Genomic DNA, 22,228 nt, shown 5'->3' with positions numbered 1-22,228 from the left:
GGCACCCACGCTTCTGGAACTGGGGAGAAGGAAAGGGGAAGGCAGGAGGGAGGGTGAGCCCAGAGCTCATCTGCCCAGGCAGCGGTGTGTGCAGCTGAGCCGCAGCGACAACAAAGTGTGTACAAGAGAAACCACTAGAGGCTGAGGCTCACAGCACACCCTCAGCTTCCTTCCCATAAAACCCAGTCCATCCCGCAGGTCATCTAACCCAGGGCCAATGAGATTAAACAAACCACCTTCCAGCCAGTCAGCCAAGCCCCTCACCCAGCATTTGGAGTCACACAGTAGAGAAGTTAAGCCCAACCAGAAACGCGCTGAGCAAATTTACTTTGCTTGAAAACCATCACTGGGCATGACACTGGGGCTCAGACTGGGCATCACCCATAGCCAATCCGGTTTTGAAGCCTAATGAAGGATCCATCTCCTCCCTACCCTCACCCCCATCCCCAAGATTAAGAGCTCTGGAGGAGGGCAGGGCCCCCACACAAGGCCTGGCGCATTGAAAGCCCTCAGGAAATGTTTGACCAGTATTATAAACATGACAAATTACACTGTTACCACACTCCTGGCCTTAGCAGAGGTCACCCACTATCAGTATGTGATGGGGTGAGTCCACAGCAGCCCTTGGGAGGCCCAGAAGGGTCGATGGAAGCCACACAGACCACAGCTCAGGGGGTGTCTGGGCTAGAGCATGGCAGAAGGCAGTGGGGGCAGGCTGGGCTCTTCAAAGCCTGCCCAAGGACCTGGCCTGGTGCAGGAAGAGAGTGGGAAGCATCATTGCCCAGTTAGCAGGGGAGTGAAAGGATGAACACAGTATATTGTAGAGACTCATCTGGCCGTGACCTCAGACTGGGCAGCAGCCAGGGAGGCCGGAGGTGGAGGGCCCTGCTGGGTGGCTGCCCGCGTGGAGAGACACAGATCAATGCAAAAGCCTCAGAGGGAAAAACAACAAAACCCAATGACTATTCATAGGTAAGTGAGGAAGAAAGAGTAAAAAAGTCTAAAATGACTCTTAGAATTCCGGGCTGGGAGACTGCAACAACAGCCAAAGGTGGAAGAACGGAGAAGCAGCAGCAGAGGAGGCTTTTCTCTTACATTAAGGAAGATGATAATAGGCTCAGGTTTTGGACAGGTAGACAGTGAGGCATCAAATACAGGCCTCCTCCAGGTTGCAAGGTGAGCCACCAAGTAAATGAAGTCCCCACGGACCGGGCTCAGAGGGAGGAGACAGGAAACACCCTCAGTGAGGGAGGAGGCAGGACCAAGAGGGAGGTGGGGAGGGCTGCGTCCACAGAGACCAGGGAGGGGACACTTCTAAAGAAAAGAGAGTGATCCACAGGCAGTCAGAGTGGGGAGGCTGGGACAGGGCCAAAGGCTGTGAAGTCCCTGGGAACACTGGAGAGAATGTCAGCAGTACACGTGGCGGGAGCTGGAAGCCAGGCTGCAGAGGAGAGAAAGTCTACCCAGCACAGGAGCTGCGGTGATAATGGGAAGGTGCAAGGAAGTGCCACAGGGTCAGAAGAAGGATAAGTTGTATCCCATGAAGATGGGGGCGTGCGGGCGTTAGTGGGCACAGGAGAAGCAGGATTTGCCTAGAGTGGCAGGATCTGAGAATGAGAGAGGAAAAATAATCAGGATAGGTCGATCAGGGAGAATCCAGGGAGATGGGGTCCAAAGAGCTAAGACACTAACTGGGCTTCTGAGAAGGGGAAGGATGAAAGGCCCCTCTGTGTCTGGCCTCAGACAGACCCTCACCCTAGCAAACAACCACAGATGCAGACAAGTGGGAGCCCTTTCCTCCCCTCCCCATAAGCCCAAGGGGACTTTCCTCCTGCCACTTAACATTCTCCTTTCTCCTCCACTTCAGTCTATTTTAACCTTTCCAATGTGCACGCTCCTTCCTTTCCTTAAGATGCAGTCCCAGCAAGCCTCGGAGCACCTTGCCAAGAGCCTTACTGCAGACTTCATAAGTCACAACCCACAAACCTTGATAACAACAATAACTACAGCAACAATAACAACGTTAATGATGCAAAAACTATCTGTTCCTTTGTCAAGCCCTTGGGGGAGAGGGCAGGATTTGAGAAGTGCTTCCAAAGGCAGCCAGGGTTCCATGCCAGCCACGGCATTGTTCCTGGGCTTGGCAGGCTCTTTACATTCGAAGTCAATCGCTCTAGAGGTAGAGGAGAGAAAAAAGATCCCCTTTGTTCACCATGCAAACTCCTTCTGACCTTCTCCAATAATTGCTTTCTTTCTGCTCACAACCCTCAGCTTTAACAGTATTTACATCAGGGCTGAGCTGCCCCCGCTGGCTGGGCTGAGACCCATAAAGCATCTCCCTGGTGCAGGGCAGAAAACTGCCGGGAAAAATGGCTTTCCCCTTTTCTGCTGCTGGGAAATAGAGGCCCCCAATGCCAGGTCCTGCCTATTATCAGCCAACCAGCACATCGCTGTCAGAGCACCAATGCCTCTAACCTCCAAACCCCCTCACAGAGCTTCACTGCACCCCCCCTCCCCCACCCCGAGCACCAGTTCCCTTCCACCACCCAACCCCTCCCCTGAGTACAGGCTCTCTTCAGAGCCCAACAGCACCAGAGTGCCAGGCACGGAGGTCCTCACTGCCCACCTCTGCCATGGCTGGAGGCAATGGGGTGGAGACTGAGTCCTTCCTCATCTTCCAGACCCCCTGCCGTGCTCTTGTAACAGGTGTCTGCTCATTCAGGGCCGGCCAGACAAACCACCATCCCACTTAGAAACCCACTCTCTTCTCCCTCTGCAGTCTTCCAGACACCACAGAAAGAGCACTGGCTCAGGAGTCAGACAGACCTGGGGGAAATCCAGGTGCCACCATTTATAGCAGGATGACCTCAGGCCTGTTACTAGACCTCTGAGTGTCAACTCCCCACCTACAAGGTGGAGAGGAGAATACCAATGCCCACCTTGCAGAGTGGCTCAGGACTACATGAGGGGAGAGATGACAAAGAATCTAACATAATGTTTGGCATGCAGAAGCACAGAATAATTGCACTTCTCTTTATTAGCGAGACAACTTATAAGGGGAGCAAGGACAGCAGTAACACGGGGACCACCTCTTCCTCTCCAGGGGCCCTGCCTGCAATCAGGCAGGGCAGCAGGTCCAGGCAGGAAGGAGCGAACACGTACACACATTCAGCCACCAGAAAACCTCAAATCATCACCAGCTGCACAGCGACCCAGACCAAGAGGTCACACGGCACATTTAGAGCACACTTCCCAGGTTTCATACCCACTAACTCGTTTACCCCTCACAATACCCCAGTGGGTAGGTACTCGCCTCATCCTACAGATGAAGAAACTGAGGCTCAGACAGGTTACATTAATTACCAAGGTCACACAGTAGGTAAGTAACAGAGCCAGGACTAGAACTTGGGCCTCCCGACTCCAGGCCACAGGAGGCCTGCTTCTCTCAACCCCACAAGCTCCCTGGACTGCTGCAACAGATGGCACAACACAAGCAGAAAAGGAACATCTCCTTCCAAGGCAGGGCCTACCGAAGCAACCAGGAAATGCCCCTATCTCCCAGAATCCCAGGGCAAGGAGGGTCCCAGCAGGGGTTTAGACTAACCCTCTGCTTTCTGCAAGTCCAGCAGATCCTGGAGTCTCCCAAGGTTCCTGGGGCCAAGAGCATGAAGATCCTAAATGTGGCAATTAGCCCAGGTCTGTTTCCAGCCAGAGGCTGTGTGCAGGAAGTGTGTGGTCCTCCCAATCTGCTAACATAGCACACACAAACTCCTCTCTTCACTCAGCTCACTTAATGAGGCTGATCGCCACCCAGCATCTCCATCAGACTAAAGAGATAAGAGTCCCAGCACGCTGGGAGATAATCAGGGAGAACAGTCCTTGCCACATTACACCTCAGCTTTAAAAAGCTCCTCATCTCTGGGGCGCGTGCCAGCACCCTCGCATTCTCTGTAACTAGCAAAGCCGTCTGTCATTATAGATTTACTATTCAATGCAGACCATGAAGCCAGAGATATTCAATTATGTAAAAGCAGCTTGCTAACGGAGGAAGACTTGGGAACAGAAGTTTAACATTGAGGAAAAAGGGTGAAGGTGGGACTCAACCTCTTTTGCTCTGCCACCTGAAAAAAAGATACCCTTATGTTAAGAACTGTGAAGAAACAGGTTTAATTTAGTTTAACCCACATTTTGCTCAAAATAGTTTTTAAATGTCAGAATCTAAGTCTAGACTCATAAGAAGCTGGTACGAAAGGGACTCAGGGAAAAGAGGAAGACCTGAGAAAACAGATGTGGCCCTGAATCCAAGGTCAGAGAACTTGAGCGGGCTGAGAATTTAGAGCTGGTGGTTTGGCGGAAAGAACACCGTACTTGGAGTCAGAAGCTCAAGTTTTGTGCTGACTTTGATTATTACTAGTTGTCATCTCTCCTTCTCCAAGTCTGTTTCCTACTCTGGAAAACTGAGGAACTGAAAGTGATTTCCAAAGTTCTTTACAATCATATCATTTGGTAAACCCATTCTCACGACCACCACCAGAGAAGTACTGTGAGGTAATCACACCTTGTGAAGAAACCATTGAGTTTCCCTGGGCATGTGGCCACCCGCAATAAAAGCCTTATCTCTCAGTCTCCCTTGCAGCAAGGGGGCCATGTTCCAGCCCTTGGAATGTAAGCTTAAGTGTGATGTGGCAACTTTTAGAAACTGTCCCTAACAGACATCTGATAAGAGTCTTCTTAGTCCCTGCCTCATTCCTGCCAGCTGGAATTTGGACAAGATGGCTGGAACTCAAGTAGCCACCTTGAGACAATGGGGAGGAAGGGCCTGCTAAAGAGGAGCTAATAAGATAGACGTTACCTGGGTCCCTGACACCACAGAGGGATACTCTGGCCCTGGAATATCCCTGTGCAGGCTTCTGCATGGGTGAAATAAATGATCTTTTTAAGGAGCTCTCATTCTGGGTGTTCTGGCACACACAAATAGATCTTGAGTGCCCACTGAACAAAAGCTTTAACTAGAAAGAAATACAAACATCTGTTCCAACTGGGATATTTCAAAGTGCCTCAAGCACCAAATCATGCATTAACTTTAGATATGTTATTTATAAGGAAGGAGACAGAGAGACTGTCAAGGGATTGATTTACCCAGTGTTCTTCCCAGTAGCCCAAATTTTCAGTGTGCCTGTTCTTATCAGGTACTTTGGTCACCTGGTGCCAGCTATTCACAAATGAAAGAAGAATTAGCCCGGGAACTCTCCAATTTCCTTACCTCAGCCCTTTTCTGGTAAGAGGACCACTGCTGGAGACAGAAAAGCTAGGACATCTCTTTCAATTCAGAGTTGAGTTGGGCTGATGAGTTTCCCAAAAATATAGAAATCCCCTCAAAATTCCTCACATACCGTCTCCAGCCTCCAGGTAGCCCTCCAGAGCCAAGGACTCAAAATCTCCTGAGACCACTCAACTCAGCTGGACCCAGAAGGCTGTGGGAACTCAATATGCTAATATGTAGAAGTCCCATGTCCTACACCATACCCATATCATCTTGGAGGGCTCCTCATTAGAAATGTTAAATCCCCCCCACACACACACCCATCTGTCAGCCTATCACACTCCAAAGACAGCAAACACGTCTCTTTTAGGATTCTCTAGGTGAAATATCCTAATTCCTCACGTGTGACCTCAAATCCCCACTGTCTAGACACTGCCACCTCAGTGATTCCCAGAGTTCTTCCCAATGCTCTGTTTCAGACTGTTGCAGCTTGAAAAGAGTAATGTGCTATTTTATACCATAATTTATTTTTAGAAATAAATACCTAGGCTCTCATAAGTCAAAATATAGGAAATTAATCTCAACACAAATCTTCATTGGTGGGTCACAGTTTAAAAAAAAAAGGTTGAGAAACACCATTAGTGAATCTCTTAAAATATGGAGCCCAACTGTCATATACTGCTGGCAGAAACCTCAACTAGTACAACTCTTTTGGAAAGGTAGCTGGCACAATTTATCATGTATCTCTAAAGTATTTATGCTCTTTGACTTGGTAATTCCACTTCTGGGAATGTGTCCTGAGGAAATTAGCAGAGGTCTGACACACGTATGACTCACAACCATTCTAACCATAAGAGTTAAAACCTATAAACAACCTAAATGTCCAACAACAACAGAATGGTTACACAGAGTAAACCACTCAATAGAAGAATAAGCCATTTAGATGGTATTTTATTTAAATGGTGTTTTTAAAGACTTCGCAATGCAAAAATATTTGCTTTAATGTCTTTAAAAATAGAATTCACTTTGGGAGGCCGAGGTGGGCGGATCACGAGGTCAGGAGATCGAGACCATCCTGGCCAACACAGTGAAACCCCGTCTCTACTAAAAATACAAAAAATTAGCCGGGCGTGGTGGCGGGCGCCTGTAGTCCCAGCTACTCAGGAAGCTGAGGCAGGAGAATGGCGTGAACCCAGGAGGCGGAGCTTGCAGTGAGCCGAGATCGCACCATTGCACTCCAGCCTCAGCGACAGAGTGAGACTCCATCTCAAAAAAAAAAAAAAAAAAAAAAAGAATTCAAAATATACGTGGTATAACCACAACTATAAGTAAACAAAAGTATGCTCAGAAAAACACTGAGGATTTGCCCTCGGTAATATTTATTCTTCCCTTTTCTCTATTTTTCAACTTGCCATAATAAGCATGTCCAATCTAAATGTTTAAAGAAAAAAATTACCACCACTTGGCTACCATTATGAAAATAATTAACTGCCTCAAAGTATCTCCCCACCAGAAAATGTATCTTTACAGTGGGAAAACATGGCAGAAACCCCCTTAACTAAGGGACCAACAGTAACACCACCAGTAATGGGTCAAATTGACGTCAGGTGCCCCCTGATATAATGCACTAAATGAAAACATCATCAAAAACCAAATTGAGGAAAATTCTTTAAAAATGTCAAGGTCACAAAAGACAGAGACTGAGGAACTATTCCAGATTAAAGGAGACTAAAGAAGGACAATTAAATGCAGTGTGTGATTCTGGTTTGGGTCCTGAATCAAATACTACCTTCCTAGTTTTGATCGTTGTACTGTGGTTACATAAGAGAATGTCTTTGTGTTTTAGGAAATACTGAAGTATTTAAGGGGCAAAGGAACATCATATATAAACTTCATATATGTAGAGGAAGAGTATGATAAAAACAAATGTGATAAAATATTAATATTTGTGGAATTGAGATAAAGGGCATATAACAATCCTTTGGATTCTTTTTGCAACTCCTCTATAAATCTGATATTATTTCTAAATAAAAGTTACAAAGAAAAAAACCTGCCTAAAAAAAAGGAAAGAAAGAGGCTTCCAGAACACAACCAGATACCGCCCCCAGCTCTTGCATGGGCCTTCTGATTCCTCCCGGCCCAGCGCTTGCTCTGTGCCCTTTCCCACGTACGTGCAGTGCTTATGTGTCCTTCTGTACTGCTAGCTGAACTGTCTCGCCTCCGTTCATGTGACATTGCGTGGTTTGGTTTTTTTCATAACTATTATATGGAATCTGCAAAGTACTTGGCACGCAACACATACCTAGCAAATACTTGTAGAATGGTTTTGATGAGAGATCTAAGAAAGAACATTAATTTTAGGCCGGGCACGGTGGCTCATGCCTGTAATCCCAGCACTTTGGGAGGCTGAGGCGAGCGGATCACGCAGTCAGGAGTTTGAGACCAGCCTGGCCAATATGGTGAAACCCCGTATCTACTAAAAATACAAAAATTAGCTGGGCATGGTGGCACGTGCCTGTAGTCCCAGCTACTCGGGAGGCTGAGACAGAAGAATCACTTGAACCTGGGAGGCAGAGGTCGTAGTGAGCTGAGATCGCACCACTGCACTCCAGCCTGGGCAACAGAGTGAGACTCTGTCTCAAAAAAAAAAAAAAAGAACATTAATTTTAAAATATGCATACTGTATGCCCCTTAAAAGGGTAAATTCTAAACATCTGCCATGAGCCACCATAGCTAAACACCACTCTTCATAAGGAGTGAAGGCCTAACCTTAAATCAAGCTTGGGGATCTCACTACCGATGTTTCCCAATGTTCAAATGTCTACCCAGCAGCCTCTGAAATAAAACCAAGCAACATGAGTCCCTGAATGGTGGTGATATTGTTGTGTGTGTGTGTGTGTGTGTGTGTGTGTGTGTGTATGTGTGTGAGGTGGGAGAAGAGGCTGGCCCTGGGATGTGAGACCCTCGGCTAGTGGCAGCCAAGGGGGCTAACTGTGCTTATTAACAAAGAGAAATGCAAAAGCACCTGGCAAGGAACAGAACCCAAGAGAGGATCCTTTAATTCCAAATCCAGGGCTTAGGGATTAGCCCATGATAACAATAACAGCCAAAAGTAGAGTGCTTATTGTATGACCAGCAGTGAGCTAAGCAGTTCACATGTTATCTAACTGAATTACCTTGACAAGTGTATAAAGTAAGCACTTTTATTATTCCCATTTTATAGATAAAGAAACTGAGACTAAGGGGAGTTAAGAAATTTGCTGAAGGTCACACAGCAAGTAAGAGAGCTGTGATTCAGACCCAAGTCTGACAGACTCCAGCACCAGAGTTGGGGCATAAGGAAGACAGATTCCCAGAACCACACACATCTTACTGCCTGCTGCTGTAAATACAAGTCCAGCTGCATTTCTTATATTTTGCTTCCTTTAAAAAGCCACACCTTACATTTGGGGCTACGCAGCACAGTGTCTCCCCTTTTTATTCCCCATGGCACAAATGTTGCTGTCAACAATGGACAATTCAGGGGCAGGGCAACTTATCTGAGAGCTTATGAAAACAGGTTTTCTTATCCTGAAATTGCAACTGCAGTGCATTTAGCCAGGACTTAAGTCCCTAAAGCTTTTAATGTTTTGGAAAACCTCTTCTTGAGCCAAGAGGGGTCTGGATCACCGCCAGCTTGGTGTGCCAGGCCTGTTAACGAGGAAGAACTGGTAGAGGGAACATTGAATTAGGCAGCAGGGAGGGAGGAAGAGCAGGTGAATTCCCACTCCGGAAATCAACTCTGCCTCCAAGCTCCGTTAACTGATAAGAAAATAACAACTCAGTGTTCATGACCCACGGTGTACATCCATGCTTTTACACACATGATCTCATTTCATCCTCTGAAGCTGAGAGTCTAAGCCACTGTTTCCACCCTTCAGGTCTCAACCCAGGAGTCTAGTCATAAAATCAGTGAGTTACAGTAGCATTTTTAAAAAATTACATTGACTAGAAAACATCAGTGAGTAGCACAGGTAGCAACACTATGCATTCAGTGAGCCCAGTGTGTACTGGGTTACACTGTAAAATGTATAACTGTTCTTGCAGGAGTTGAAAAATTGTCATAAACAATGAGTGTTTATAGGCAGAGGTGGTACTATCCCCACTTTAGAGATGTGAAAACTGAGGCTCAGAGAAGGGATTTGCCTCGGATTAAGCCTAAAACAGTAGAGCCAGGTCCCCGCCAGGACAGATCTGATGCTTTTCTCTTGGGCTGTCAATGTGAATAGTTCCCACAGACATCCCTGGAGCATCATCCACTCCCCGTTGCTCCACCCAGAATAATACCCGAGAGGCTGGCAAGTCTGCTGTCCCTTCCAATCCAGCTATTGAGCGTGACCTGCTGAAAAGAGCTACAATGACAACCTGATCCATCTTCCCTCTGCTACCAGCATGTCCACAAACCCCCAAATCCCTTCAGAGAAAAGCACATGCTCAGGCCAAGTGACACCAAGCAGACAATGGTGACACAGCTCCAATGTGAGCAGAACTTGTGCTACACACTCAATTGAGAGCACCCACCTCGGCTGGCAAAATACCACCAGCCATATAAGATTAACTTGGAAATGTGTCTAGTTTTGTAGCTTTACCGCAGAGCTCGGTATTCTGGGAATACAGATTCCTGGGCTTTATTCTTGAAGAAAAACATCTCCAGGGGCTGGGAGCCCAGGAATCCATTTTACACATATCTCCTTAAGGTGAAGAAACTCCATCACTGACCCATCTTTTAAAAACTCTCTCTCTGGACCCCATATCACTCCCCTCTCCACTCACAGCCAGAATTTTCCATCTCCCCTGCTCCTCCCATTCTCCTCCCTCCTTCCATTGCTCATCCCTCTGAAATCTGCCCTCCCCACAACCACCACAAAAAAGGCTCTTGGTGAAGGCTCAACAATGACCTCCTATAGATAAACCCTACAGGCACTTCCAGTTCTCATCTTGTTTGGCCTCTTGAACTGGATGCGACACTTGGTTTCCCTCCTACCTCTCTAGCAATCATTCCTTTCTTCTTTGTAAACCCTCCTCTCCCCATTCTTTCAATGTTGAAGTTCCACAGCTCACTCAGTCTACCCTCTCTTCCTACCCTATATGGTCCCCCAGCCAACTTCACCCACTCTCCTGAACAGCACCCCTAAATTAACATCTCCAGATCAGACCTCTCTTCTAAGCAACACATCTTTACGTCCTGCTCACTCAGCAGTTGAACTGGAGTCAAGTACAGTTCTAAAATGTTAAAAGCCTAATTCTCATACAAATAGGTATTGAGCATATTTCAAAGTTTTACTTAACTCGCTAATAAGAGACCCTAAAAAAGAGGATATAATCCTGATATAAGATTGCTACATTAGATACCAACAGGTTAATGTCCTTCAGGGCAATAATCTTTGTGCTTCTCTTCTTTACCAAACAGAAATAATTTGCATCCTACTTAACTTTACAAAGTATGGCCCATAAAAAATAATAAACAGAGTTACATCCCCTAGAACACAGCTGGTCCTTAGGTGGTTTCTTATACAATACTCCAGTATGATACTAAAATGTCACAAAATCATCTTTTATTTCCAAGTGTTATATAATTTTTTTCCACTGTAGTCTACGAATTTGGATGGAGAAAAATGACATCTTTATCTTCACTAACCTCTAACTGAAATTTAGCCTTTCCTGTATTATGAATGTATTTATAAATGTATAAATGCTTTCTACATTTATGAATGTAGATAACAAATTACAGTAGTAATTAGGGTAGCAGTGTCTGTGACTTTGCCACCAACAGAAATCATATTTTCTTATCACATTACAAGATATCCTGAAACACTATTTATGCTCATCACAACTTAAAATTATAGAAGTTATCAAGCTTGTACCTTTGATCTTTTTATATGATGCATTAATAAACATAAATATTATTTTATCACAACCTTGTTGTTATATTTTGATAACTGTATTTCAATAAAACTGCTTTCTTTGTAATTCTATGCATTTTACTTTATACATTTAAAAACATTATTCTAAGAAAGACCCAGAGGTTCTCAGAGAAGGCTTTCCTGACTCCTTGAATTAGGTTAGGGATCCCTGTTATACATTCTCTTACCACATTATATTAACACTTTCTCTTTCCAGCACTTACTACCTGAATTAAATAATTAATCAGTGGCTGTCCCACTAGGCCATGAGAGAAAGAGATGGTGTCTGTCTTATTTATGGTTATCCCCAATGCCTTAGCATGAGGCCTGGCTCATAAAAGATTCTCAAGGAAATATCCATTTGGGAAAAAAAAGAAGTATCTGTTGAATGAATGAACATCTGTGGCACATGTAGGATGCTGATGTTGGTCCACCTTCCTTTGAAATAGGGGCATGTACTAATACTCTGCCCAGGACCCAGTAAGACTAGACCCTGTGATGAGAACAAACCCACTCGTTCCTCAAGACCCTTCCCTACTTGGCCCAAACAACAGAGCTTTCCTACCAGGCCCACATCTGGGCTCAGATACTGGATCACCTTTATGTTTAAGCCCCAGTTTACAACCCTCAACCTTGATTTTCATCAACATCTTCCAACAAGGATTAAAGGACCTGCTCACGACTTCCAGAAATCTGCCTGCGCCAAGGGGTTGGAGGAACTGTAGGATTCTTTGCAGGGAATGGACACTCCACCCTTGCGCCCCCGCAACTCTAGTGAGCTGGAAACTCTGAAGCCAGACACAGGCCCACCATCACACCATCTAGGAATGGAATGTGCATCAGACTGGGGCCTCAGTATGACTTTGAGGAATAAAGGCTCTTTTAACCCCACACTCCATGAGTGTCTTCAACCCCCCAATGTAAGATCACAAAGCTAATTATTTAGAAGTGGTTGCAAACTGGTATGTGGAAAGAGGCCCTGCTGATGTAGGGTGGCAATAGGGGACAGTGAACTGGAGCTCCTTGGGGGAAGGATACAGTCAGCATGTACCTGGCTGGCCACCCCTGTCCAATGCCAAAGCCACCAGGGAGCAGCTGAAAAGCAAGTTTCAGGGACACTCCTGGAAAATGGCTGCCAACGCAGCTGCTTACACATTCAAGCCAGGCACTGAGAACTCTGACTGTGGTCCCCACCTATCTCTTTATGCCTTCATCTTCCAGGCCACAGACACCTCAACCTCGTCTAAGGACATGTTGCTTCCCACCTCCCTGTCCAGCCACCCATCCCTCTCCAGGGATGATGGTACTGGGCTAGCCTACTCACCTCACCAAGTTACATGGGGCTCAAAACCACACCGTCGTGAAATACGTGGAAATGCTTTGCAAACTCTCAAGCCCTCTACAAATGCATCCGATTTGACAATTCTGCCAACAGATCACACGGGGAGCCAGAGGCTCCAGGCAGTGCTGAAAGATGGCCAGGCAGAAGGAATGGGCCAGCCCACCAGGGCTGAGCACTCCTGCTCCTTCCCTCTCCCGTTGGGACCTAAGATGCCAGGTGTTAAAAACAACAACACCACATACACACACACACACACACACACACACACACAGAAGGAGAGGTAGGGGGCAAATAAACCATCCCAAGTCCAGGTTATGTGGAAGAACCTCCGCCTCTCCTTATACCCCATGCATTCATTTCTGGCCCATTGTCACTCAGCCTCAAAGGCTACCACAACCACCAAGCAAGACACAAGAGCCCAACAGAATAAAACCACAAAGCTGGGGCAAAACCCTCCTGGGATACAGTGTGTTTGGTGTCTTCATTCTCAAGAGGGGATCTACTTTCAGAAGAAAGGGGAGAGAAACCAAGCACACTTACATCCTGAGCCCTTCTGCACCACCCCCCCTACCTGGGATCTCTGCAGCAGCCTGGCAGAGAGGAGGCAAGGAGGCAGTCAAGAGCTCAGCTCCAAGTAACTCCCGTGGGGAGAATCCTAGCTGCACAGGGGTACCCGTACCTGGCATTCAAATCATGCAGCCTCTCTCTGGCCCTTCCTTGCCCACCTCCTCCTCTTAACTGCCTTCCCCATCATCTCTTACTCAACAACTGGCAATGACTGCTGAGACTCCCAGTGACTGGGCACTTTCACGTGCCAAGCGCTGTGTTGGGTGCTTCCTGTATTTTTTCTAATCCTTTCAACACTGCAAGATGGATATCATTACCACCACTAACAAACAAGAAAACTGAGGCAGGGCCCAAGGTCACGCAGCTCCTGAGTGTCTAGCTGGCTAAAAGCCCATGTTCTTTCCACTACATAACACTTGAATTTATCTTGTAGATAACAGAGAGGAAAGTAAGGATGAAAGTGTTGTTCTGGGAAAATTAGTCTCTCCCCCTCCCACCCAACCCTACATGCGGCCTGATTGATCTTGTTATTAAAAGGGCAGCTTTCATCAAGTCTCTCCATTACCTACAGAATCGAGTCCCCCACAGCTTTGCCAGGCATTTAAAGTTCTTTACGATCCACTTTTTCAGTCTTACTCCCCTCATCCCCAGACTCAAACCCTCCCTCCATCCAGCCTGGCCTATCATTCCTCATTTCCCATGTCTCTGGCTTGGAAGGTTTCCTTCTCTGCCTGTGACATTAGTTCCATCAGCCAAACACGGACCGGGGCTGACGACATGCCAGGCCCTGGGCTAGGTGCTGGGGACACTACAGCCAGGACAGGGGGCTCCCTGCTGTCACAGAGCTCCAAGTCTGCCCTCCTTGTGAGGCCAGTCCACACCTTGCTCTTTCCTGGGGCCTTCTCTGATCACTCGGTGTCCCACTGCTTGGCCTCGTCCTGGATCCCCAGCACACAGGGGCTGCCACTCTTATGGCACTCAGCCACACTTCCACCTTATATGCCGGGTCTGTTTTAAGACTTCCGCTGTAATGTGTTTATTTCTGTGGGAAATGTGCACTACAGGTTCCAAACAGCATTTTAAATGGCAATTCAGTCCTCAGGCCAACCCACAAAAGCCTATTAAATATATAATCGTCCCAGAGAAGTACAGAACCTAAATAAGTGTACCTTAAAAGCTCTACAGGAGATGCCAGGAACAAACATCTGCCTCCTGCACCTCCACCCACTGTCCTCCAGGGTCTGAGCTTCAAGCGACCATCAGGGGCAGAGGCAGAGAAGCAGGCGGGAGATGGATGAGTGGGAAGAACCCGATTTACATTCAGCAGATCTGGCTCTTCTCCCAGCTCTGCCTTCACTAACTGGGTGGCCTTGAGTGAGTCCCTTCCCTCCCTAAGCCTCGCTATTCTCCTATAAAAGGAGAAGGCTGAGTTAGATCAGTTCTGAATCTCACAGATCAGCAGAATATATATATTTTTAAATATAAAATGGATTTTATATTATTAAAAATAAATTTTATCAAGAAAGGGCTTTTAAAAAGAAATCACAATATACTACAACCAGCCTCATTTTTCAAAGGGATGCTGTAACCCCCTCCCCCTCAAAATATCGTCATGTCAGAAAAATTGACAACTTTTTAAACTGAAAACATTTGCATTCATGAAAAACAAACAAACAAAAAAATACACCATTTTTTTTTTCCAGTTTGACTGCAGACCAGAAAACTCTATCCCAGCCCAGCTTCAGTCCTTGGCCCAATGCTTGAGAACCACTGAGCTAGGAGACCTAGAGTTCACTCCAGCTCGACGTTTCTCCATCCTACAGGCTGGATGGAGCCAACAGGACAATCAGCATGGACGGCCCTAGAGAAGAGTCAGCTGCAGGGATGAGCTGAGCTGGACAGCAGGAAAGCAGGCAGTCAGCGCAGGGATGGGAGCAGGGCAGCATGGCTCGGCAGGGATCGCCCTGTGCCCTAGGGCTACCTCCTGCCCCTGTGTCCAGGAGCACTTGGCAGGGAGGGCACCGCCACCCATAGCCTCTGAGGGCACAGACACCCAGCCTGGAAGCTCTTGGAACTAACCTGTCCCACGTGTTTGACAGTGACACCTTCCTCCCCAGTATTCTTTTGGAAGGCTAAGGGTTCCCAAAGCAACATTTTAAAAAATCTTTATTAACTTTTCTGATTATAAACTAATACATATTCATGTGAAAAACTTGGAATCCACAGAAAAGCATAAGCAAAGAAGCAGAAGTCATCACAACTCCACCTTCCAGAACAATGACTGTTAACATTTTGATGCACTAATTCTTCATACATGTAACTTCAGCCACCCTCAGATTTGGTTTTACATCCTGCTTTTCCCTTACTTATCACACTTGGGCATTTTTCCACATCCTTAGATATTCTTCATAAACATCATAAAATGTTTTCATAATAAACATAATATTCTGGTAAATAAAAATATTCTTTATAAACATTGCAATGGACTGAATATTTCTTCTTCTTCTTCTTCTTTTTTTTTTTTTTTGAGATGGAGTCTTGCTCCATCCCCCAGGCTGGAGTGCAGTGGCGCGATCTCAGCCCACTGCACCCTCTGCCTCCTGGGTTCAAGCGATTCTCCTGCCTCAGCCTTCTGAGTAGCTGGGACTACAGGCGCCCGCTACCATGCTTGGCTAATTTTTGTATTTTTAGTAGAGACGGGGTTTCACCATGTTGGCCAGGCTGGTCTCGAACTCCTGACCTCAGGTGATCCACCCGCCTCAGCCTCCCAAACTGCTGGGATTACAGGTGTGAGCAACTGTGCCCGGCCAGGACTGAGTATTTCTGTCATTCCCCTGAAAATTCATATGTTAAAATCCTAACCCCCAAAGTGGTGGTGTTAGGAGGTGGGGCCCTTGGTACGTAATTAGGTCATGAGGGTGGATCGCTCATGAATAGGATTAGTGCCCTTGAAAAAGGGACCCAAGAGAACTGTCTAGTCTTCTTTCTATCATATGAGAATACAGTGAGAAGTCAAGAGTCTTCTGGAGGAGGGTCCTCACTAGAATTCAACCATGCTGGCACCCTGATTTCGGACTTTTGGTCTGCAGAACTGTGAAAAATACATTTCAATTGTTCTACACCACCAGTCTATGGGATATTTCTTATAGCAGGCCAAACTGAAAAAGATAAATATCACTTTCCATGATATGGACAAGGCCAGATATTATTTAACCATGCCACTATTATTGAGCATTTAACCCATTTCCACATTTTGCTATTGTAAAAAATGTGGTGGGTGTATATCCCTGTACACGAATCCCTGCAGATGCCTTTATACCCTTCAGGTCACAGCCCAGTCCTGTGCACATATCAGCCCTCAGTAAATATTGAGTGAACAAAGAAACCCAACCGGCTTCCAGGAACCTGGGGAGCACTTATCAGATAGATACAGCATTTAAATTTACAAAGACCCAACGCGCTGTCCAGCAATCACTCACCACTGCTCCTGTTGGCATGCTCCCTCCACCTCCTACCCGCTAAGCCAACTCTAGGGCTTAGGGAAAGGAGAAGATAGAAATTGCTTGCTCAGGACTCCCAGGTTCTAGTGCTTTCAGCAAACCTACCTGCTCTTCCGCACCTCCTGGTGAAGGGGACCTGCAGCCCTCCACTGCCTAGCTAACTACCACACATCTTTCAGACTCTGTTCAACCCTACCACCTCAGGAAAGCCATGGCTGACCTCCCTTTAAATCAACGTATGGCTCCGGTTCAGTGAAGGATACTAGTACTTAAGGTCACAGCACTTGCAGTTCTGTCATTATTTGCTCACAGGACTGACTCCTTTGCCCAATCCAGGGCAACACCAGACGGCAGGTACAATGTGTGTTTTGCTCTCCGCCCAAAATCTAACCCAGTGGAGGGCAAAATATCAATCCAAACAATGTGATTGACAAATAAATGTCTGCCGAATGAAATTTCAGATTCTCAAGCCGTTTGTTTTCACAAAAGGGAGGGGAAAGGGAGGAAAGCAGGACCTCCTACTCAGCCCAAGTGCAAAGACCGATGGGGGGCGTTTCAGGAGATAGCTCCCTCCTCCTGGCCCAGAGACCCGCCCAGACCAACTGGCTCCAGGGAACTGATGGCAAACCAGCATTCAACAAACCCAGACGCAATTAAGTGACACTGCCCCACTCCAGCCTGGTTCTCCCCAAGAGGGAGAACACAGACCGAAGAGAACAGGGGGCTTCTTTCCCCACCCACTTCCAACCAGAGAGTACCAGGCCACTCCTCACTGGTGATCCAAAAGGCCAGGGTATTGGGAGATGGAAGTGTTTCAAGCAACTCAACCCACACTTTTCTCCTCCCATTTGCCCAGTGTCCTTGCCACACCCAAATGGAAAAGAACGGGAAAATCTGGGTTGGGGGGAGGGTGCCAGGAACAGGAAGTTCCCTGGAACTTCAGGGGAAAAGGACCAGGATGGTCCTAAAATAAGGGAGCGCATAAGTTATGGAAAAGATGGGGAAGGAGGCCACAATATCTCATCACACACCCACAGCGAAACGAAGGCCAAACCCCAGACCTGGGCCGGCAGGCACACCCATTCCGACCTCTCTCAGGGATGCCTGGAGTCCCCCCCACCAAGTGTAGCAAACTACTCTTGGAGTCCACTCCTTTTCCACTTTTGTAAGATTTTGCAGTTTACACAGCTTCCTCCACTGAGACCTCATCCGACTCTCAGAACCACCCTATGGGGGTAGCTTTGCCTTTCTATATCATGCATGAGGAAACTAGCTCAGATACATTAAATGAACCGCCGCGTCACACAGCTAGAAAGTGGCTGAGGCTCGAGCCCGCCTCAGTTGGGTGTAGGAGCAGCTCCTCCGCCGGGGCGGGCTACGTCGACCCCACCCAGCCCACCGAGCCTGGCCTGTGGGCGGAGGCCCAGGTGGTGGCCCGCAGTTTCCCAGACGCCTGGGGCCGAAGCCAAGAACAAGGTGGCCCTAAACCAAGGTTTCCGGCAGTGCAGGTAGTAAGCACCCCCATCCCACCCCGCACTCACACAGGTGCAGGGCTCGGAGTCTGGAGCGGAGCTCACCCCGCAGCCCGCCGGCGTCCTGCCCGACCGGCTGTGCCCCGACCTGCATCCCCGCAAAGTTGTGGCCGTGGCGTAAGCACCCTGCCAGGGATCTCCCGGCGCCCCACAGCTGCCTCCTGCCCCTGCGTCCGGGAGCGCTTGGCGGCGAGGGCACCGGGACGCCCGCTGTCTCCCGCGTAGCACCCAGTGCCCGCCTGCCTGGCATGCACGCCCTCATCCCGGTGCCCCGGGGCAGCTCCCCGCACGTTCCGCAGAGGGCTGGAGCAGAGAGCGCAGAAGGGCACGCGGGACACACGTGCTGGCCCGGCCCGGATCCCTGCCCCACAGTCTCACCCAGATTGCCAGCAGCAGCCACGCCGGCCCGGCCCGCGCCATCCCAGCAGCGCTGCCCACCGCTGGCTCCTTTCTCCACTCCGGCGCCCGCTCCCGCCCGCCCGCCTGCTAGCTCCACCGCGGCCAACCACCACGGCCACTTCCCAGCCGCTCCCCGCCTCCGAGTTCCCGGTGCCACGTCTGCCAAAGCATGCGCAGCAGCTGGGGAGAGGCGGCCGGGAAGAAGTGCTCGCTGGGAGTTGTAGTCTGCAGCCTGGCTCAGCTGGGGGCTGCGGGTGCGGACTGGGCTCCGAGGCCACGTGGCAGCGAGTGAAGTGCGAAAAGGCAAGGTCAGGGAGTAAGGGAAGGCAATTAATGAGCGGGGGCTTACTCTGTGCCTGGAGCTTCAGAAACAGTATCTCACGCAGCTCACAGAAATTAGGTTTTATTTTCTCCACTTTGAGGATTAGGAGGCAGCGCAGGGAATTTAAGTACGTTGATCCAGATCACACAGCCGGTAAATGGCAGAGTCCAGGGCTGCCTGTGAAGGACAGGAAAAGCCCTCATCCCTGCCTCCCAGACTCCCTCCTGCTTATTCTATTTAACTTCAGTAAAACATTATTGAGCTGTTGGAAAACAATCTGGTGGTTCCTCAAAAAGTTAAACATAGATTACTATATGACCAGCAATTCCACCCTTAGGCTAATACCCAAAAGAATTGAAAACAGGTATTCAGACAAATGCACGTACACCAGTGTTCACAGCAACACTATTTACAATAACCAAAAGGTAGAAACAACTCTAACGTCTGTCAAAGGATGAATGGGTAAACAAAGTGTGATACATCCATCTAATGGAATGTTATTTAGCCATTAAAAGGAATAAAGTGGCCCAGCAGGGCAGCTCATGACTGTAATCCCAACACTTTGGAAAGCTGAGGCAGCAGAATCGTGTAAGACTAGGAGTTTGAAACCAGCCTGGGCAACATAGCAAGACCTCATCTCTGCTAAAAATAAAAATAAAATAAAATAAAATAGCTGGTGTGGTGGCAAGGGACTGTAGTTCCAACTACTTGGGAGGCTAAGGCGGGAGGATTGCTTGAACCTGGGATATGGAGACTGCAGTGAGCCAAGATCATGCCACTGCACCCCAGCCTAGGCCACAGGGTGAGACCCTGTCTCAAAAAAAAAAAAAAAAAAAAAGGTGGGGGGGAGAGAATAAAATGCTAATACATTCTACAATGAATGAATCTCAGAAATGTATGCTAATGAAAGAAGCCAGACACAAAAAGTCACATATGATGTGATTACATCTTATGAAATATTTAGAATAGGTAAATCCACAGAGACAGAAAGCATAGTAGTGGGGGTGGGGAGGAAGGAATGGGGAATGACTGCTTAATGAGTATAGGGACTCCTTTGGGAGTGATAAAACATTTTGGAACTAGATGGAGATGATGGTTCCACAACATTGTGAAGGTACTAAATGCCACTAAACTGTACACTTTAAAATGGTTAATTGATGTTATGTGAATTTTACCTGAGTAAAAATTTTCAAAAGAAAAAAACTCTTTATTGAACCCATTCCCTGTGCTAAAGCAGGGGTCCCCAAACGCTGGGCCTCTGGACAGTCTGTGGCCTGTTAGGAACCAGGAGGCAAGCTGTGGGCCAGCGAGCATTACCACCTGAGCTCTGCCTCCTGTCAGATCAGTGGTGGCATTAGATTCTCATAGGAGTGTGAACTCTATTGTGAACTGCACATTCAAGAAATCTAGGTTGTGGGTGCCTTATGAGAATCTAATGCCTGATGATCCGAGATAGAACAGTTTCATCCCAAAACCATCCCCTGTCCCCCCACCATCTGTGGAAAACTTGTCTTCCACAAAACCGGTCCCTGGTGACAAAAAGGTTGGGCCCTGCTGTGCTAAAGCATTCTTGCATGCAGTCAGTTCATACATTCAAGAATGTTTATTGAACACTTACTATGTCCTGAGGCTCAAGATATCCAGTAGTGAGATGAACAAGAGAACAGCACAGTCAGAGGTTGGTAAGTTATAGCTGAAAGGTCCTTGCCTTCTGTCAGGAGAGTCAAAGCTCAAAACTTAGAAGTTATCCATTACTCGCTTCCTATTCACAACAGGCCCATCCAACCCCTCACCACATCCTGTCAATTTTACCTCCAGAATATATCTCTCCTGCCACCTCCCAAGTCTAAGTGACTATCACCTAGGGAAGGGTAACAGTTTCTGAAAGAGTGTGCCTGCTTCTCCCCCATGCCATCCATATGTTAATGTCAGTTGGATCTTGCTTGCCCCTCCCCTGAAACCCTCCAGTGGTTTCCCATTACCCTTAGAATAAAATCCAAACTCTTCCCAAGACCTGCAAGCCCTGCATGGTCTAGGCCCTCGCCCGCCCGGTAGACCTCATCTCCTGCCTCCCACAACCCCTGTCCACTGGGTCCAGTTACACAGACCATCATTTCCTCACCCCTCCCCTCTCCAGAGCTGCTCCTGCCTCAGGGCTTGTGCTCCTCCCATTCTCTTTGCCTTGGCAATTTCCTTGGCCTTTGTCTGGCTGGCGCCTTTGTATCCTTCAGGGTTCTCCTATCTATCCCCTCTCAGAGATGCCCTTCAGAGCAGCCCATCTACAGGTGAGTTTACCCTCCCCACTGCCAAGCTCCTTTTTCTCTATCTCAACTTCTGCTTAGGTTCTGTTGCTTCTTTGCCCAGCACCTACCAAAACCCACAAGACTTACTGAGTCCTTGTGTTCATTGTCTCTTGCTCCAACCTGAATGTCAGTTTCCTGTCCCTCTGTTCATCACCTTGCTTCCAGGACCTAGCACAGGACGGAGCCACAGATGGTTCTCACTGTTCTTTTTGATGAATGACTGAATGATTGAGCTAAGTAATGTGTTGGGAAGTGTCAGAAATTCCTAAAGCAGTTTGGGGACAGGGCTTCCTTGGCATGCTCTGCTCTGCAACCTCGAACTTATGACCTGCACATGGGAAAGTGAGATTTGCACCCCTCTCTGTGGGTCTCTGTTTCTCATCTGTCAAATGAAGCAGTTGGTGAGGATGCAGAGCTACTGGAACACTCACGCATTGCTGTGGGAGTGTAAATTGGCTCACCTACTTTGGACAACTGTACATGTACAAAATCTGAGCCAAAATGTTCATGGCAGCTTTATTCACAGAAGCTGTTATGGACTTGTGTCCCCCCCAAATTCATATGTTGAAGTCCTAACTAACCCTTACTACATCAGAATATGACCGTACTTAGAGCCTTTGAAGAGGTAATTAAGGTTAAATGAGGTCATTGTGGTGGACCCTAATCCCATATGGCTGGTATCCTTACAAAAAGAGGACAGTAGGACACATATACAGAGGAAAGACCATGTGAGGACACAGAGAGAAGACAGAATGGCCAGTGACACGCCAAGGAGAGAGGCCCTCAGAAGAAATCAACCCTGCCAAAAGCTTGATCGTGGATTTCTAGCTTTCAGAATAATAATAATAATAAAAAACAACCTCTGTCATTTAAGCCACCCAGCCTATGGTGGTCTGTTACGGCAGCCCTAACAAACTGATACAGTAGCCCAAACTGGAAACAACCCAACTGTCAGAACAGGAGAGTAGATAAATTAGCGATAGCATATTCTGCAAAAAAGAGAGACAGAGAGAGAGAGAGAGAGAACAAACTCCTGATAATATGCAACAACGTGGATG

At 47.6% G+C, this 22,228-nt stretch overlaps 1 protein-coding gene across 4 annotated transcripts in view, besides 3 other annotated features; it reads right to left on the bottom strand.

Moving 5' to 3' along the window:
* PDIA5 (protein disulfide isomerase family A member 5) overlaps positions 1 to 18,706 on the bottom strand; it is a 95,080-nt gene extending 76,374 nt beyond the window's left edge. For all 4 annotated transcript variants that reach the window (NR_028444.2, XR_007095629.1, XR_007095630.1 and 1 more), the window contains exon 1: positions 18,525 to 18,706. Coding sequence is in view for 1 of the 4 variants with exons in the window: in NM_006810.4 (NP_006801.1) it covers positions 18,525 to 18,566 (42 nt within the window). In the remaining 3 variants the exon portion in view is untranslated. The remainder of the gene's footprint in view (positions 1 to 18,524) is intronic.
* Positions 214 to 849: an enhancer, noted in NCBI's record as "H3K4me1 hESC enhancer chr3:122803729-122804364 (GRCh37/hg19 assembly coordinates)". NCBI's record gives its function as "activates a minimal SCP1, AML or CMV promoter by ChIP-STARR-seq in primed H9 embryonic stem cells {active_cell/tissue: H9 hESC(primed)}" and the evidence as "EXISTENCE:reporter gene assay evidence [ECO:0000049][PMID:30033119]".
* Positions 850 to 1,484: an enhancer, noted in NCBI's record as "H3K27ac-H3K4me1 hESC enhancer chr3:122803094-122803728 (GRCh37/hg19 assembly coordinates)". NCBI's record gives its function as "activates a minimal SCP1, AML or CMV promoter by ChIP-STARR-seq in primed H9 embryonic stem cells {active_cell/tissue: H9 hESC(primed)}" and the evidence as "EXISTENCE:reporter gene assay evidence [ECO:0000049][PMID:30033119]".
* Positions 18,412 to 18,651: a silencer, noted in NCBI's record as "silent region_14646". NCBI's record gives its function as "represses an Ori minimal core promoter by ATAC-STARR-seq in GM12878 lymphoblastoid cells {active_cell/tissue: GM12878}" and the evidence as "EXISTENCE:reporter gene assay evidence [ECO:0000049][PMID:35858748]".

Source organism: Homo sapiens, chromosome 3 (genome assembly GCF_000001405.40).
Source record: "Homo sapiens chromosome 3, GRCh38.p14 Primary Assembly".
Classification (NCBI taxonomy): Eukaryota; Metazoa; Chordata; class Mammalia; order Primates; family Hominidae; genus Homo; species Homo sapiens.
Note: the sequence above shows the minus strand (reverse complement) of the source record. Positions and strands in the feature narration are given on the sequence as shown.